Source organism: Homo sapiens, chromosome 12 (genome assembly GCF_000001405.40).
Source record: "Homo sapiens chromosome 12, GRCh38.p14 Primary Assembly".
Lineage (NCBI taxonomy): Eukaryota > Metazoa > Chordata > Mammalia > Primates > Hominidae > Homo > Homo sapiens.
In genome coordinates this window covers 22,171,435-22,190,635 of record NC_000012.12, presented here as the reverse complement: position 1 = coordinate 22,190,635, position 19,201 = coordinate 22,171,435, and the positions used below count along the sequence as shown (strand labels likewise).

General features: G+C 35.6%; 1 annotated feature.

Annotated features, from left to right (window-relative positions):
• Positions 1,908–2,077: an enhancer, noted in NCBI's record as "experimental_26529 CRE fragment used in MPRA reporter constructs". NCBI's record gives its function as "activates a minimal promoter by MPRAs in K562 erythroleukemia cells, with activity observed for both the introgressed and non-introgressed 12:22341578 variant alleles {active_cell/tissue: K562}" and the evidence as "EXISTENCE:reporter gene assay evidence [ECO:0000049][PMID:34662402]".

The following is a 19,201-nucleotide window of genomic DNA, read 5'->3' as shown; positions in this document are numbered from 1 at the left end:
GATAATTAGAAAAAGTTTGAGGAACACTGATCTAGAAGTGTCTGCCTTACACAAAGTTGGCATGGCCTAATAAAGACTCATTTTGAGGACCATCTGAGAGACAATGTTGGGAGTATGGGGTACCATCTTATAGGATGTGGTATATGTTTTGCACAGTGACTAGTTTCTCCCATTATATGTTTGGGCTGTATTAAGAATATCTGGATCTGGGAACCAAGGGATGGAAGTAGAAGTTGCTCCACAAGTTGTGATGCATTGTGCTTTTGTCAGTTTTTAAATCAGAATATTATCTAATTATCTTGTGATTTTTCTTTAAATCACCTGTCACTTAGTATATTTTAAATTTCCAAATATATGGAAGATTTCCTAGTATCTTTTTGTTATCTCTTTGTCATTTAATTCTGGCACGACCAGAGAATATACTATGTGTGATTTTATTTTCTAAAATTTATTAAGAATTATTTTATGGCGCAGGTTCCATGAGTACTTTAAAGGAACATCCATTCTGCAGTTGTTGGCAATAGTGTACTGAAAGCATTTATTAGGTCAAGTAGAGATGATCCTTGAACAATGTAAAGGTTAGGGGTGCCGACCCCAATGCATTTGAAAATCTGCATGTATCTTTTGATTCCCCCAAAATTTAACTACTGATAGCCTACTGTTGACCAGAGACCTTACCAACAACATAAACAGTTGATTAACAAATATTTTGCATGATATATATATAAATAATATGCTGTATTCTTACAATAAAGTAAGCTAGAGAATAGGAAATGTTATTAAGAAAATTATAAAAAAGAGAAAACATATTTACTATTCATTAAGTGGATTGTCATAAAGGTCTTCCTCCTCATCACCTTAATGTTGGGTAGAATGAGGAGGACAAGGAAAAGGAAGGATTAATCTTGCTGTTTCCAGGTTGCAAAGATGGAAGAAAATCCTCATATAAGTGGATCTGTGCTGTTCAAACTTTTGTTGTTCAAGGGTCAACTGTACACTCTTACTGATATATTTTATCTATTCTATCAACTATAGAAAAAATGTATATTAAAGTCTCTAAGTATGATGTGCCAATTTCTCCTTTTAGTTCCATACATTTTAGCTTTATTGAATTTACTTTGAAATTTATTATAAGTTTCATTCATTGAGGAGTCTGACTTCCAGACCAAAGTCCTATCTGTAATTCTTCCTGTCTGACCACAGGCAATCATAAGGCTTTGTCTGGCAGGCCTAATGGAGAGAAGCTGCTCTCCTGTATTATTTTGTTCTTGAATCGCTATAAAGAAATATCTGAGGCTGGGTCATTTATTAAGAAAAGAAGTTTAATTGGCTCGTCGTTCTGCAAACTGTACAAGCAGGGCACCAACATCTGCTTGGCTTCTGGTGAAGGCCTCAGGAAGCTTATAATCATGTTGAAAGGCAAAGCACAAAGCAGGAGCAAGCCCATCACATGGCAAGAGTGGGAGCAGGGTGGGAGGTACCACACACTTTTAAACAACCAGATGTGGTGTGAACTTGGAGTGAGAACTCACTTATTACCAAGGGGACAGTGCTAAATAATTCATGTGAGTTTTGCCCCCATCAAACAATCACCACCCACCAGGCCCCACCTCCAAAATTGGGAGTTACATTTCAACATGAGATCTGGAGGTGACAAACATCCAAACCATATCACCTCCTCACACCTTGGTGCATAGCCAATTATCAGTTTTCTAGAATGAGTTGCAGTCAAGGACTTAGGACTCTTAGGAGAGCCATGTTCATATGCATATTGGCATTCCTAACCCAGCACCTTCATGTAGAGGCCTTTTTATCAGGGGCCTTTGTGGAGACACTTTTCCACTTTGACTCAGTATCTCTCCACTGCTAGAAGACCTGCCCTCTCTTCTTCCCCCTGGCCCATAGGTCCATAAAGAGAGAAAGAGCCTTTTGTTTAGGATTCCTTGGCATTGAGACAATTCTCCCATCGACACTGCATTCAGTTAACTCTCGGCCAGTAGCGTTCCATGGGGAAAAACTACACCCTAGGAAACTGGTGCCTCCTCCTTGCAGTGTCATAGTAAGTAAATAAAGGCTTGATTGTTGCTTTCAGTTGGCTTATTGTCCTAATTGACCAACACCTGATTGCTTGAAATACACATTGAAGACTGTGATATTTTCTTTATGAAGTGACCCTTTTATTCTTAACTTTTATAACAATATAAGTATTACAATATGAATAAGTATCAAAATAATTACATAAATTTTTCTTTTTTCTTTTTTTGTAATACCCTGTTTTGAAATCTACATCGACATTAATGAAAACTTACAAAATTTTTTACGGTTGATATTTACCTGGTATATCTTTTTCTATCCTTTTACTTTCAGCTTATTGTAGTTATTATATCTTTGCAATGTGCCTCTCGTAAACAACATACTTAGGTCTCATTTTGCTTTTTTATCTATTTCAACAATCTTTGCCCTTTAACTGAGGCATTTATCACTATTATATTTAATGCAGTTGTTGATATCGATGGGTTTAAGTCTATCATCTTATTATAGTCATGTGTCACTTAACGGTGGGATACATTCTGAGAAATGAGTTATGTGATTTCATCATTGTGCAAGCATCATAGCGTGTACTTATGCAAACCTAGATGCTATAGCTGACTACACACCTGTGCTATAATGGTATAGCCGATTGCTCCTTGGCTACAAACCTACGCAGAATGATACTGTATTAAATACTGTAGGCAATGGGAAGATAATGGTAAGTATTTGTGTATCTACACATAGAAAAGATACAGTAAATATATGGTATAAAAGGTTAAAAAATGGTATATCTATATAGGGCATTTACCATGTGAAACTTACAGGACCAGAAGTTGCTCTGGGTGCATCAATAAGTGAATGTGAAGGCCTAGGACATTACTGTCCACTGCTGTAGACTTTACAAACAATGTACACTTAGGCTGTACTAAATTTACAATTTTATGGGACCAATGTCATATATGCAGTTCATCATTGATAGAAATATTGTTGTATGGTGCAGAACTTTGTTTTTTATTGGTTTTCTCTGTTCTTTTTGCCTTTCATGCTGCTTTCTTGCCTTTTTTAGATTAATCATTTTTTTACTATACTTTTATCTGTTGCTCTAGGGATTATAATATGCATCTTCAATCACAGTATAACTTGAATTAATATTATACTACTTCACAAATAAGAAGGTTATATTAGTATGACACATTACTCTGTCTCCCGATCCTTTTTCCTATTGCCATGTGTATTACTACTGTATATTTGATTAATTCCATAATACAACATTGTTGTTTTTTGTTTTAAAAACATAGATGCCTTTCAAAGAAATTAGAATATGAAAATACACTTTTGTTTATATACCCCTTTATGTACAGATCTATTGCTTTTAATCCTTTCTGTAGAAATGATACCATTTCTCAACAGCCTAAGAATTTCCTTTAGCTTTTCTTGTAGTGCTAGTAACAAGTTCTCTCTGCTTTCATTCTTTTCCTTTTTTTTTTTTTTTTTTTTTTTTTTTTTTTTTTTTTTGAGACAGGGTTTCCCTATGTTGTCTAGGCTGGTCTCAAACTCCTGGGTGCAAGTGATCCTCCCACCTTAGCCTCCCATATTGCATGGATTACAGGCATGAGCTCCCACACCTGGCCTCTCTCAGCTTTTATTTACCTGAAAATGTCTATAGTTCACTTTCATTTTTGAAGTATATTTTTATTGGCTATAGAATTCTAGCTTGACAGATTTTCTTTCAGCTTTTTAAATGTATCATCCCATTGTTTTCCAGTTTACCATGTTTCTGAAGATTTTGCTAGAATTATCACCATTGAATTACAGGTGATGTTTGCTTTTCCTTTCACCCTCTAACTTCTTTTAAGGATTTTTCCCCCCAGCAGACTAGAGCCCCTGCTTTATTGAAGTAAATACAAAATAGTTAAAGCATGGTCTTTTTCAGATGAACTCACTGTAGCCACCAATAATGTCATTTTGTCTCTTTCTCTTTTCTTTGGGTAGAAGGGAAAGAGTTCTGAAATGCTCAATGAGCCAACTAATGCTGCTGATGTATTCAATTAGATTTGAAGTAAGGACAAAACACCAGAAACATAAAACCTATGATTCTTTGCAAATTCATAGAGATTCAAAGGAAAAGAAACACCGCCATTTGCTTTTGAACAAAACCAAGGGTTATTTCAGAGATGATCTGATCAAAACCTTCTACATTACAGATGAGTCAATTTCAAATCACAGAGGCACAAGTGACTTCTGAAGTACAGTAGCCAGATTCATATTTTAAAAAGAAAACGTTTAGTTTTGCAGATGAAAAATGTGTGCATAGATAATTTAATAAAAGAAAATTTATAAATCATTAGAGGAAATTGCTTTACTATTATTATTCCTAGTTTATTAATAATTTTTTTGTAGTACTGAACTATACAGATTGAGGCCCTGTATTTTAGGGTGCTTTTTTTCATTTAGGTTTCAGCACTTTGATAAAGATTTAACAATAGCGTCCGCAGTTCCAGGTATCACTAGAATGTGCAAAACCATGTAATTCCTTTGTGTGTGTGGGTGGGCGGGGGGAGGTGATACCCTATTTTTTAGAGCCGTTTTAGGTTCACAAAAAAATTGAGGAGAAAGTACAGAGATTTCCCAAATACTCTCTGTCCCCACACATGCAGACCTTCCCCCATTATCAACATCTCCCACCAGAGTTGTACATTTGTTACAAGTAGTGAGCCTACATTGACTAAGTTATCACCCAACATCCATAGTTTACATTATGGTTCACTCTTAGTGTTGTAAAATTCTTTGGGTTTGGACAAATGTATAAGGACATGTTTCCACCATTGTCATTACCCTTTATCATATGTTACTCTGTATCATAAAGAGTAGGTTCACTGCCCTATACGATTTTTGTGTTCTGTCTATTCTTTCCTCCCTCCCACCTACTCTCTGGCAACCACTGATCTTGTTACTATCTCAGTAGTTTTGACTTCTCCAGAATGTCATATAGTGAATCATAGTGTATATCCTTTTCAGACTGGCTTTCGTCACTCAGCAATATGCATTTAAGGTTTCCTCCGTGTCTTTTAATGGCTTGATCACTCATTTCTTTTTAGTACTTAATAGTATTCTATTGTCTGAATATACCACAGTTTATTTATTCATTTACCTACTGAAGGACATCTTCGTTGCTTCTAAGTTTTGGTAATGAATTAATAATAAACACTTAAATATAAATAAAGCTGGTATAAACATCTGAGTTCAGGTTTTTGTGTAGACATAAGTTTTCAACTATTTTGGATAAATATCAAGGAGCACAATGACTATATTGTATGGTAAGAGTATATTTAATTTTGTAAGAAACTGGAAAATTGTATTCCAAAGTGGCTGTTATATTTTATAGTCATTTCCACCAGCACTGAATGAAAGCTCCTGTTGCTCCACATCCTCACCAGCATTAATGTTAGTGCTTTAGATTTTGGCCATTCTATAAGTGTGTAGTGATATCTCATTGTTATTTTAATTTGCACTTCTCTGATGAAAAATGACGTGGAGCATCTTTTCACGTGCTGCTTGTCATCTGTATATTCTATTTGGTGAAATGTCTGTTAAGGTCTTTGGTCCATTTTTTAACTGGGTTATTGGTGTTATTGTTGAGTTTTAAGATTTTGTACATTTTGAATAACACTCCTTTATTGGGTATGTCTTTTTGCAATTATTTTCTCTCAAGCTCTTTCAAGTTTCCTATGGGGGAAGCTTAACTCATTGATTTTAGATCTTTCTTCTTTCCTTTTCCTTTCCATTTCTTTTTTTTTTTTTTTAAGACAGGGTTTCCCTTTGTCACCCCGTTTGGAGGACAGTGGCGCAGTCTTCACTCACTGCAACCTCCGCCTCCCAAGCTCAAGTGATCCTCCCACCTCAGCCTCCCAAGCAGCTGGGAGTACAGGTTTGCGCCACTATGCCGGGCTAATTTTTGTATTTTTTGTAGAGTTGGAGTTTCGCCTTGTTGCTCAGGATGGTCTCGAACTCCTGAGCTCAAGCAATCTGCTCACCTTGGTCTCCCAAAGTGCTAGGATTACAAGTGTGAGCCACTGCACCTGGCCCTTCTCTTCTAATGTATGCATTCAATGCTATAAATATCCTTCTAAGCACTACTTTTACTTCATCCCATAAATTTTGATACATTGTGTTTTCATTTCCATTTAGCTTAAAATATTTTTGAATTTCCCCTTGCAATTTCTTCTTTGACCCATGTGTTATTTAAAAGTATGCACCTAACAATATAGCATCAAAATAAGTGAGGCAAAAATGAGTAGAGCAGTCCAGACATTTTAATCTGCAAGTATTTGGGGGATTTCTCAGCTAGCTTTCTATTATTGATTTCTAGTTTAATTCCATTGTGGTCTGAGAGAAGACATTGTATAATTTCTGTGCTTTTAAAATTTGTTAAGGTATGATTTATGGCCCAAAATGTGGTATATCTTGGTGAATCTTCCATAGGAACTTGAGAGAATGTGTATTCTGCTGTTAGATGAAGCAATCTATAAATACCTATATATCCAGGTGATTGATTGTGTTGAGTTCAACTGTGTCCTTACTTGATTTCTGCCTGCTAGATCTGCCATTTCTGATACAGGAATATTGAAATCTTTAACTAAAATAATAGATTCATCTATTTATCCTTGCTGTTTGATTAGCTTTTAAAAAATTATTTATTTATCTCTTTAGAGACAGGGTCTTGCTCTGTCACCCAAGCTGGAGTGCAGTAGTACAGTCATAGTTCACTGCAGCCTCTATCTCTTGGGCTCCAGTGATCCTCCTGCCTCAACCTCCTGAGTAGCTGGTACTACAGGCACACACTACCATGCCCAACTAATTAAAAAAAACTTTTTTGTATAGATGGCATCTTATGTTTGCCCAGCCTGGCCTCAAACTCCTGACCCCAAGTGACCCTTCCACCTTGGTCTCCCAAAGTGCTAGGATTAGGGGCGTGAGCCACAATATCTGGACTGCTCTATTAATTTTTGCCTCACTTATTTTGATGCCATATTGTTAGGTGCATACACATTAAAGATTACCATGTCTTCTTGAATAATTGACCTATTTTTTCATTATGTAATGCCCTTCTTTATCCATGATAACTTTCCTTGCACTGAACTCTGCCTTGTCTGAAATTAATATAGTTATTCCTGCTTTCTTTTGATTAGTGTTAGGACAATAAATCTTTCTCCACCCATTTACTTTTATCTATATGTCTTTAAAGTAAATTTCTTATAGACAACATACAATTGGGTTTTATTTTTGATCCTTTCTTACATTCTCTGTATTTTAATTGGTGTATCGACATTCAAAGAGATTACTGATATGGGTCAGATTAATATCTACCACATTTTTTAGTGTTTTCCATTGTTGTCCCTGTTCTTTGTTCCTATTTTTGTCTTCCATTATTTTTCTGCCTTTTATGGCTTTGATTGAACATTTCACATTATTCCATTTTCTCTTTTCTTCTTAGTATATCAGTTGTATTTTTTAATTTTTTTAATGGTTGCTCTAGAGTTTGCAATATACAGTTACAACTAATTCAACTCCACTTTCAAATAAAACTATACTTACTTCACAAATAGTGCCTTATAGTAAAATATTCCTAATTCCTTCCTCACATCACTTGTATTATTTCTGCCATTTATTTCACATATACATAGCGTATATATGCAAATAATAAAATACATTGTTGCTATCATAATTTTGAACAAACTTTTCTTTATTAGGTCAATTAAGAATAGGAAACAAAATAATTTTTATTTTGCTTTCATCTATTTCTTCTTTGATGTTTTTCCTTTCTTTATGTAGGTCTGAGTTTCTGACGGATATGGTTGGCTGCACACCCACCCAAATCTCGTCTTGAATTGTAGTTCCCATAATCCCCACATACCATGGGAGGGACCTGGCGGGAGGTAATTGAATCATGAGGGCAGTTACCTCCATGCTGTTCTCGTGATCGTGAGTTCTCATGAGATCTGATGGTTTTATAAAGGGCTTTTCCCTCTTTACTGGGCACTTCGTCCTGCCTCAATGTGAAGAAGGTGCCTCGTTCTCCTTGCCTTCTTCCGTGATTGTAAGTTTCCCGAGGCCTCCCCAGCCCTGAGGAACCATGGGTCAATTGAACCTCTTTGCTTTATAGAGGACAGTCTTGGGTATTTCTTCATAGCAGAGTGCGAATGGACTAACACACTGACCTATATAACCCTTATCTCTGAATAGCTTATTTTAATTTTTAATTACGAAATAGGTCTACTAGCAACAAATACCCTCAATTTTTATTTGTCTGGGAAAGTCTTTATTTCTTCTTAACTTTTGAGGAATGATTTTCTAGAAAACAGAGTTCCAGATTGGTGGGTTGTTTTCCTCATGACATTTCAAATATTTCATTTCACTTTCCTTGCTTGCATAGTTTGTGAGAAAACAGATGTAATTGCTTCTCTATAGATAAGGATTTTTTTCTCTCCGGCTTTTTTTCAAATTTTTTTTATCCTTGATTTTCTGCAGTTTGAATATTATATGTCTAGATATAGTTTTTTTTTCTGGCATTTATTCTGCTTATTGGTTTATGAGTTTCCTGAGTCTGTAGTTCGTTATTAGACATTCATTTGGGGGAAATTTTCAGTCATTATTGTTTTAAATATTTCTCTGTCCCTTTCTCTCCTTTCTACTTCTGATATTTCCATTATGTATTATATATATGTTACAACTTTTGTAGTAATCCCACAGTTCTTGGATATTCTATTCTGTTTCTTCCCCCAGTCTCTTTTCTGTTTGCTTTTTCAGTTTTGGAGGTTTCCACTGACATATCCTCAAGCTCAGAGATTCTTTCCTCAGCCGTGTCCTGTGTACTTATAAGCACGTCAAAGACATTCTGCATTTCTATTGCACTGTTTTGATACCTAGCACTTCTTTTTGATTCTTTCTTAGTATTTTCATATCTCTGCCTTCATGGCCCATTTATTATTGTGCACTGTCTGCTTTATCCATTATTCATGTCTACTTTAGCATATTAGTTATCGTTGTTTTAAATTCCTGGTCTGATAATCTCAACATCTCTGCCATATCTGAATCTGGTTCTGAGGCTTGCTTTGTCTCCTCAATCTGTGTTTTTTGCCTCTAGCACATCTTGTAATTTTTTTCTTAATAGCCAGACTGAGCAAATTATTTTATTCAGTCTAATGTAAATTAGTATATTATTTTCTTGATAATGTACTGAGTAAAAGGAACTTCTGTAAATAATCCTTTATTCGTGTGGTTGTAAGGTGGTAGGGGAGGGGAATATCTTATAGTTCTATGGTTAGGTCTCAGTCCTCAGAAAGCCTGTGCCTCTGGACTGTCACAAATGCTTCCCATTTTTTCTCCCTAAAAGCAACAACAACAACAAAAGCAACTGGAACAGAATTGGTTAAGTGGGTTGGAGTTAGGCATTTCTCTTCTCCCATGTGGAAGACTACAGCTGCCTAGAGTTAAGATTTCTCTTCCCCCAGGTCATTAAGGCTCAGATAAAACCCCCGTAGGTTAGGCTCTGGTTAGTTTCTCCTGAGGGCAGACCTTGTTAAGAAGAATGAAGTGCTCTGGCCTATTTCAAAATAGTTCCTTTTTCCCTTTCCTTGCCAGAAGTACATGGGGATTTTTCTCTGATAGTCACTGTGAGGACCCAGTTGATTTCCTGGAGGTAAAACTCATGAAAGTGTTGGGGGCTTTCCTATGACTGGGTCTCCCTGAAGTTTTTAACTCTCAGAATTCTCCACACTGAGCTCCCCACAATTCATTCATTACCATTTAAAGAGCTGTTGAATGTTCACTTTGTTTAGATTTTTACCTGTTGTTAGAACAGAGTGGTGATTTCCAAGTTTCTTATGAGCCAGACTAAAAACCATTCTTCTCTGTGTTTTTCAGGTCTAACTTAACTAACCTTTTCATATCAAAATGGTTGGTGGTGTTGGTTTGGTAGAGAAGGAGATGTCAGGTCAAGGCAATCACTGTTGCATCTGAGATTTTCCCAGACTCCAGTCAGCCCTTTCTGCTCCAAGTACCAATAGCTTGATTGGCTTATGATTGTTATTATTATTGTGTAACAGACAAGCTACCCAAGATGTGTGTGAAAGATGAATATTATATTTTACTTAAAACTAAATTGGGTTTCTAATAAATTTTTAACAACTTTATTTAGGGATAGTTTATATACCATACAATTTACATTATAAATATACAGTTTGATTATTTTTAGTAAAATTTATAGTTGTTCAACCATTACTAGAGTTCAGTTTTGTAACACTTCTGCCCGCCCCCCCCAAAGTTTTCTACTTACAGTTTGGAGTCAATCCCTGCTCCCAGCTCTGATCCCAGACAACCATGGATCTTCTTTTGGTCTCTACATCTTTGTCTTTTCTGGAAACTTCATATACGTGGAATAAGACAATATGCATTATATACGTAGTCATCTGTGTCTGGCTTCTTCACTTAGCGTAATGTTTTCAAGGTTCATCTATGTTGCATATATCAGTGGTTTGTTCCTTTTGATTGCAGAATAATATTCCATTGTATGCATTTACCACATTTTGTTCATCCACTCATTGGTTGATATACATTTGGATTTGTTTTCAGTCCCTGGCTGTTTTGAATAATGCTGCTTCAAACATTTGTGTACAGATTGCTGGTTCTCATGGTAAAATTTTCATCTTAAGAAACTTCTAAACTGTTTTCCAAAGTAGCGGTACCATTTTACACCAGCCAACATCAATCTATGATTGTTTTGGTTTCCTCACGTACTCAACAACGCTTGTTATTGGTGGTCTTTTTAAAAATAACTACTCTTGGAGATTGTGTGATGATATCATTTGTAGTTTTAACTTTCATTTCCCTAATGACTAATGATGTTGAGCAAGTATTTATAAAAACAAACAAATGAAAACAAAGAAAAAAACCTCTAATAAAGCTAGTTGTATATCTGCTTTGTTGAAGTATTAAAATCTTTTACATTGAACATTTGGGGGAAATGGTTGTAAGATTATAAAAAAATATAATCTGTATACAAGTCCTTTTTCAGATATAACATTTGCATTTTTTGTCTGTAAATTATTTATTCTTTTTCTTAATTGTGTCTCAAGATCAGAGGTCTTTCTTTTTTAAAAATGTCATTTTTAATTTTTGTGGGTACATAGGTGTATATATTTATGGGGTACACAAGACATTTTGATACAGGCATGCAATATGAAGTAATCACATCATGGGCAAATGGAGTATCCATCCCCTCAAGCATTTATCCCTTGAGTTACAAACAATCCAATTACACTCTTTTAGTTATTTTATTTTATTTTTTTATTTTTTTTTAAATTTTATTATTATTATACTTTAAGATTTAGGGTACATGTGCACAATGTGCAGGTTTGTTACATATGTATACATGTGCCATGTTGGTGGGCTGCACCCATTAACTCATCATTTAGCATTAGGTATATCTCCTAATGCTATCCCTCCCCCCTCCCCCCACCCCACAACAGTCCCCAGAGTGTGATGTTCCCCTTCCTGTGTCCATGTGTTCTCATTGTTCAATTCCCACCTATGAGTGAGAACATGTGGTGTTTGGTTTTTTGTCCTTGTGATAGTTTGCTGAGAATGATGGTTTCCAGTTTCATCCATGTCGCTACCAAGGACATGAACTCATCATTTTTTATGGCTGCATAGTATTCCATGGTGTATATGTGCCACATTTTCTTAATTCAGTCTATCATTGTTGGACATTTGGGTTGGTTCCAAGTCTTTGCTATTGTGAATAGTGCCGCAATAAACATACGTGTGCATGTGTCTTTATAGCAGCATGATTTATAATCCTTTGGGTATATATCCAGTAATGGGATTGCTGGGTCAAATGGTATTTCTAGTTCTAGATCCCTGAGGAATTGCCACACTGACTTCCACAATGGTTGAACTAGTTTACAGTCCCACCAACAGTGTAAAAGTGTTCCTATTTCTCCACATCTTCTCCAGCACCTGTTGTTTCCTGACTTTTTAATGATCGCCATTCTAACTGGTGTGAGATGGTATCTCATTGTGGTTTTGGATTTGTATTTCTCTGGTGGCCAGTGATGATGAGCATTTCTTCATGTGTTTTTTGGCTGCATAAATGTCTTCTTTTGAGAAGTGTCTGTTCATATCCTTCGCCCACTTTTTGATGGGGTTGTTTGTTTTTTTCTTGTAAATTTGTTTGAGTTCATTGTAGATTCTGGATATTAGCCCTTTGTCAGATGAGTAGGTTGCGAAAATTTTCTCCCATTTTGTAGGTTGCCTGTTCACTCTGATGGTAGTTTCTTTTGCTGTGCAGAAGCTCTTTAGTTTAATTAGATCCCATTTGTCAATTTTGTCTTTTGTTGCCATTGCTTTTGGTGTTTTAGACATGAAGTCCTTGCCCATGCCTATGTCCTGAATGGTATTGCCTAGGTTTTCTTCTAGGGTTTTTATGGTTTTAGGTCTAACATGTAAGTCTTTAATCCATCTTGAATTAATTTTTGTATAAGGTGTAAGGAAGGGATCCAGTTTCAGCTTTCTACATATGGCTTGCCAGTTTTCCCAGCACCATTTATTAAATAGGGAATCCTTTCCCCATTGCTTGTTTTTCTCAGGTTTGTCAAAGATCAGATGGTTGTAGACATGCGGCATTATTTCTGAGTTATTTTAAAATGTACAATTAAGTTGTTGTTGACTATAGTCACCCTGTTGTGCTATCAAATAGTAGATCTTATTCATTTTTTTCTAACCATTTTTTTTATGCCCATTAACCATGCCACCCTTCTTCCCAGGGATTTTCGTTTTGATGAAGACCATTTTGTATTTTTGCATAAAGAGAGTGCCTTTGGTGTCTTCTGCAAATAAAGACACATTTCTGTCTTTTCAATATACATGCATTTAGCTTTTTATTCTTGGTTTAATAAACTAGGTAAAACTGCAAACACAATGTTGAATACAAATCCTGAAAATGGACATATTTGCCTCACTCCTGATATTAGGTGAAGTTTCATCTTTCAAGATTAATAGGATACTAACTGAAGTTTTTTAAAGAGATGCCCTTTATCAGAATGAGGAATTTGATTTCTCTTCCTATTTTCTTGAGATTTATTATTATTAATGATTCTTTACTACTTACAAATGTATTTTTGTATATCTATTGAGATGATTGTTCTTGTTTTCTTTATTCTATCACTGTGGTGTATTAAATTAATCAGTTAATATGTTAAGCCAATCTTGCATTTCTGTGATAAACTCCATGTTCTCATGGTGTATAAAGATTTTGTGTGTTTCAGGATTTGGTTTGCTAATATTTTAATAAGGATTTTGTGTGCTTATGAGGTGTATTGGTCTATATTTTTCTTTTCTTGTGATGTCTTTCTCTGGCTTTGGCATCAGGTTAAAACTGACTCTAGAAAATAAATTGGGGAGTGTTTCTCTTCTTTCTGTAAGTTTGCATGGGATTTGTGTTATTTCTTCATTAAATTGTTGATAGAATCATAGTAAAACCAGCTAGGGATTGGCTTTCCTTTATGGGAAGAATTTTAATTGCTAGTTCAAATATCTTCCCTGTATATAGATCTATTTTGAATTCCCATAAGTCAGTATTACTAATTTTTGTAGTTTGTCTAATTTCTTGGCATAAAATTATTAATAATATTGTTATTTTGTTTGTTTGTTTTTTGAGATGGAGTCTTCTTCTGTCATCTAGGCTGGAGTGCAGTGGTGTGATCTTGGCCTTCCAGATTCAAGGGATTCTCATACCTCAGCCTCCCAAGTAGCTGGAACTACAGGCATGCGTCACCATATTGGCTAATTTTTACTTTTAAAAATTTTTTTAGTAGAGATAGGGTTTCACCATGTTGGCCTGGCTGGTCTCGAACTCCTGCCCTCAAGTGATCCACTTGCCTCAGCCTCCCAAAGTACTGGGATTACCAGTATGAGCCGCCGTGCCTGGCCATTATTATTTTAATTTCTCTAAGATCTGCAATGATGTCTCCTATTTTATTTCTGAATTGTAGTTTGTGTCTTTCTACTTTATTCACAGTAATTCTCACTAAAGATTTATCAGTTGTTTTGCTTTTGCAAAAAAACAAAACAAACCCAAAAACACCAACTTTTGGTGTCGTCGTACATTTTCTTTTTTTGTTTTTCATGTCATTGATTTCTGCTATGAGCTTTATTATTTCTTTTCTTCTACTTCCTTTCAGTTTGCTTTGCTCCTGGAGAGGTAACGATAATGTATTATAGGAGTTTAAAGAATGATTACTCCCCATTCTTGAATCAGGAAATTCTTTGAGGATAATGAGCCTTGAAGAGTAGATTATGATGGAGTGAGAAAGATAAGAGGTAGTAGGGAAGACCTTCCCAGAAGAGGGAATAAGACAAGCAAAGGCAAGCAAGTACAGAGCGTATGGGAAACAACGAATTGATCACTTTGTTAACTAGAGACCAAATACATCAGCAAGCACAATTAATTTAAATATACTCAAGTCTCCAATTGAAAGACAAATGTTCTACCTTTATGATGGATTTGTCAAATTGGACTTTTGTCTAATTTTGTTTAATATATTTTAAAGTTATGCTATTAGGTACAGTTTTAAGACTTTCATCTTTCTGGTTATTGAATAGGTTAGATTTATCTCAGAATAGAAGGAGGCTTCAACATTAGAGAACATATTAACATAGTTAGCCATATTAACCAGGTTAAAAAAATCTTATGTTCATATCAATAGATAAGGAAGGTCATGAGAAAAAAATTAAGTTATTTTCGATTTAAAAAAATCTTAGATAACTTTCCTAACTTTATAATAATATGTACCTGAAAAATGTATAGTAGACATCATTCTTAGCAGTGAAACATTAGAATATACCTTTAAAAATAAAGGATAAGAGGGCTGGTCGCGGTGGCTCATGCCTGTAATCCCAGCACTTTGGGAGGTCAAGGCGGGTGGACCTTGAGGTCAGGAGATCGAGACCATCCTGGCTAACACGGTGAAACCCAGTCTCTACTAAATATACAAAAAATTAGCCGGGCGTGGTGGCGGGCGCCTGTAGTCTCAGCTACTTGGGAGGCTGAGGCAGGAGAATGGCGTGAACCCGGGAGGCGTAGCTTTCAGTGAGCCGAGATCGTGCCACTGCACTCCAGCTTGGGCGACAGAGCAAAACTCCGTCAAGAAAGAAAGAAAGAAAGAATGAGAGAGAGAGAGAGAGAGGAAGGAAGGAAGGAAGGAAGGAAGGAAGGAAGGAAGGAAGGAAGGAAGGAAGGAAGGGAGGGAGTAGGATATCTTATCATTCAACATTTTCTCTGGGCGCCTAGAAGACACATACCCAAAAATAGAAAGAAATAAAAACATGAAGATTTGAAAGAAAAAACACAACTCTTCTTTTTAAAAGATAGAAAAACCAAAATTATCTATAATTTCTCCTATCAAAATTTGAAAAGTTTGTAATATTAATGCACAAATTTGATAAGGTTACCAAATACAAGATCAGCATATAAAAGTAAATTTCATTTTTACGGCGCTAGTAATAAACAGCTAGAAAATGCAATTTGAATAATGAAACTATTTACTATGGCAGCAATAATAATGAAATGCTAAGACCTAATAAACACAACAAAAAATGTACATGTCTCTTAGGGAATAATTATGAAATTTATTGAAAGACAATGAAAAAGACCTGAATTAATTGAGAAATGTACTATATTCATAGACAGAAAGACTCAATATTATAAAGATGTCTTTGCTGCTAAAATTGATCTAGACCCATAGAATTTGTTGTAAAATTTAATTTATAATTTATATAGAAAAGCAAGGATTTATAATTGCCAAGACGCTCCACATTGATATAGATTTTGGTAAGCATTTTCTTTAACTGTTAAGATACATGGAACATGAAATGAATTGAAAACCAAACTTTTGTATGTGTTGCATGAAGCTCTTAGGTATCAATTCCAAATGACTTTCAGCCAGTCTATCATTAGTTCATCCATCCAATTATTTTGAAATTTATAGGCACTGGCATACTTGGAGCTCTCATTCTTAGATTTCATGCTGTGCCTTAAAATGAAATATGTGAAAATAATTTTTGATCTTCAGTAATTATGCATATTATCAGCAATATACTGATTTTTATAGCTTGTGGTCACGATCTTGGTCTTCTTAATAACTTTAACATTGTCCATATGACTTTGAGGAATGTTTCCACCTTGGCTTTCACTAGGATGTCTAATTTACCATTTTCATGTTTTCCCTGAATGAATCATGTATCACTAAAGTAATCAGCTTCTATTCTAAATTATCAGGCAGATGCTCACAAATTGACATTTTATTGATAGTCTTGCATAACGAATGAATAGTTCACATCAGTATCTCATTCTTTTGAAGTTTAATCTATTTGGAGGTACCATTGCAAATTTTTCTGCCTTTAGTTGGATTGCATGGCACACAATAAGCAATATTTTTGCATGAATCTCAGCAATAAAATATAATCCAGCTTTATTCATTTCTGAGTATCTTTCCTTCTTAGGTCTTATAGAAAGCTTGGTTGTTGTGTTGCAGCATAATCTGGAAATGTAGTCATTCTTCCAAAAAATAGTCAACTTACAATAATCAATTTACATCTCACTACATAATTTTCCTGCCATTTTACACATACTATAGCTTTGTGTCTTAATGCCCAATTACGACTCATTCTATAGACTACATGTATGTGTATATGTAATTGTTGGTTCATCATATCTTTTTAAAGATATTTAACTGGCAGTTAAATTAAACAAAAATGACACAAACAATGCCCATTAGTCAACTAATGTGAGATTGAGAAGTGCTGTAACAGAGTTTGTATATGTATAGGAAATGACGGTTATGTCATCAGACTGCATACCTAACAGTAATAGTGACAGCATCAATTGTAAGATACAGTTTGATCTCAGAAATGTTAAAATGTGAAAAAAGTGTATCTTAGAATCAACAAATACTTTTATCTTCCATCATTGGGATGAAAGAAAAGGCATATTGGAAGGAGGATGAAGCACAAGTCAGGGATGCAGTCATGGAGAATGGAAGTGTTATAACATTCTAAAACTGGCCCTTCCCCTCAGAAGAATAAATTAGGCTGATAAGAAAACAAAGGAATCTTGAATTAAAGGAGTGAATCAGAGATCATTCCCTTGGCAATTTGTTCAAATTCCAGTTAATTCAGGCTCCTCTAGACAGATGTTTCTGTACACTAGGGGGCTGTAACACACAACATGTTAAAAAAAATATTGATAGCTTGTTTTGTTTGTTTTTAAATTTTGTTTCCTCAACAAACATTTATTGAACATGAATTGTTAGGCTGAACATTGTAAGGAATATTAAATGACTACATTCTGTACTCAGCCTATAAGAGATTTATAATTTGGTAAGGGAGACAAAGCATGGATAAAAGTTAAAATAAAGTGAGGCATAAAACTGGACCAAAGAATTACAAAAATTCAAAAGAGTAGTGAATCTTTGTCTAGATAAGCTTGTCCAACCCACAGCCCATGGGATGCAGGCAGCCAAGGATGGCTTTGAATGTGGCCCAACACAAATTCATAAACTTTCTCAAAACATTATGAGATTTATTTTGTGTGTGTGTGTGTGTGTTTTTGTTTGTTTGTTTTTAGCTTATCAGCTATCTCTAGTGTTAGTGTATTTTACTTGTGGCCCAAGACAATTCTTCTTCTTCCAGTGTGGCCCAGGGAAGCCAAAAGATTGGACACCCCTGGCCTAGGTCATCAGTTGACATTCGTTTGAGTTGGAAAAAATTTAACCGTATCCTTAATGACTGACCAGACTGTGTATTTCAGGGGATCCTCCTGACCACAGTTTGTGGGCAGCGTAAGAACAGAAGCAGCTGCCTCTTGCAAATATCCTTGAGGGGCAGCTGGGTAATACCAGGGCACATGCTTATTCCACATCTTAGTCACTATGTTCCTCCTCTTGTCCTCCTCTCCTTCCTTCCTGTTTTCCGACTTCCCTCCTTTGGCTTCTTCCTTGGGGTACTACAGACCATAATCACCTGGCAGTGACTGTAAATATAGTCGTAATCTTTCAGGTGGCATTCTGGACTAAAGAAGTTGCTCACCCCAGCTCCCAGGTAAATTCTGGGACATCTTTTTTCCTCAAAAGTTACTGTGGCCACAAACACCGTTTGCTGATATAATGGTTTGTGCATTTTCAAATGTTGCCAGGATTGCAAGAGAATGTTTATAGCCCTTTGAATTAGGGAGGCAAAATGGCAGAGCAGGTGCAGGAGCAGAGCTGTGGCCCTCCTTCCTTTACCATCACGCACACACCCTCTTGCCCACTTTCTAACCAGGCTATACAAGTGAAGTTATAAATCCATTATGAATTCTTTACAAGAACCAAGGTCTACACTGTTCAGGAGCCCATGGCAAAAAAATACCCTGCTTTCTCACTTTGGCTTTCCGTCGTATGTTTGGTAGTTGAGAAAGATCTATTTAAATATTTGTTTCATTTATTTTTTAAATGTTTAATTTAAAAGAACTATCAGGCTGGGTGTAGAGGCTCACACCTGTAATCCCAGCACTTTGGGAGGCCAAGACGGGAAGATCACTTGAGCGTAGGAGTTCAAGTCCAGCCTGAGCAACATGGTGAAATCCCGTCTCTACGAAAAATACAAAAATTAGCTGGGCATGATGGCACACACCTGTAGTCCTAGCTACCGGAAAGGCTGAGGTGGGAGGAGCACTTGAACCTGTGAGGCCGAGGTTGCAGTGAGCTGTGATTTTGCTGCTGCATTCCATTCTGAGTAACAGAGTGAAACTATGTCAAAAAAAAAAAAAAAACCATCAATTTTAAAAGTTGCAAATATAGTACACCCATATAATCTTTACTCATTACAATCATTAATGTTTTTGCTATATTTGCTTTTTAAAATCTAATTATTATTCTTATTCTTGTTGCTGAAAATTAGAAAGTAAGTTGCAGATACCATAATCCTTTACTTCCAAACTATTTCAATGTATATACCCTAACAAGGACATTTTCCTAGATAACAAAAGTATAATAATAAGGTAAGAAATTTGATGCTGATATAATATTGTCTAATATACAGTTCCTATTCAGATTTTACCAATTTTCTCATTAAT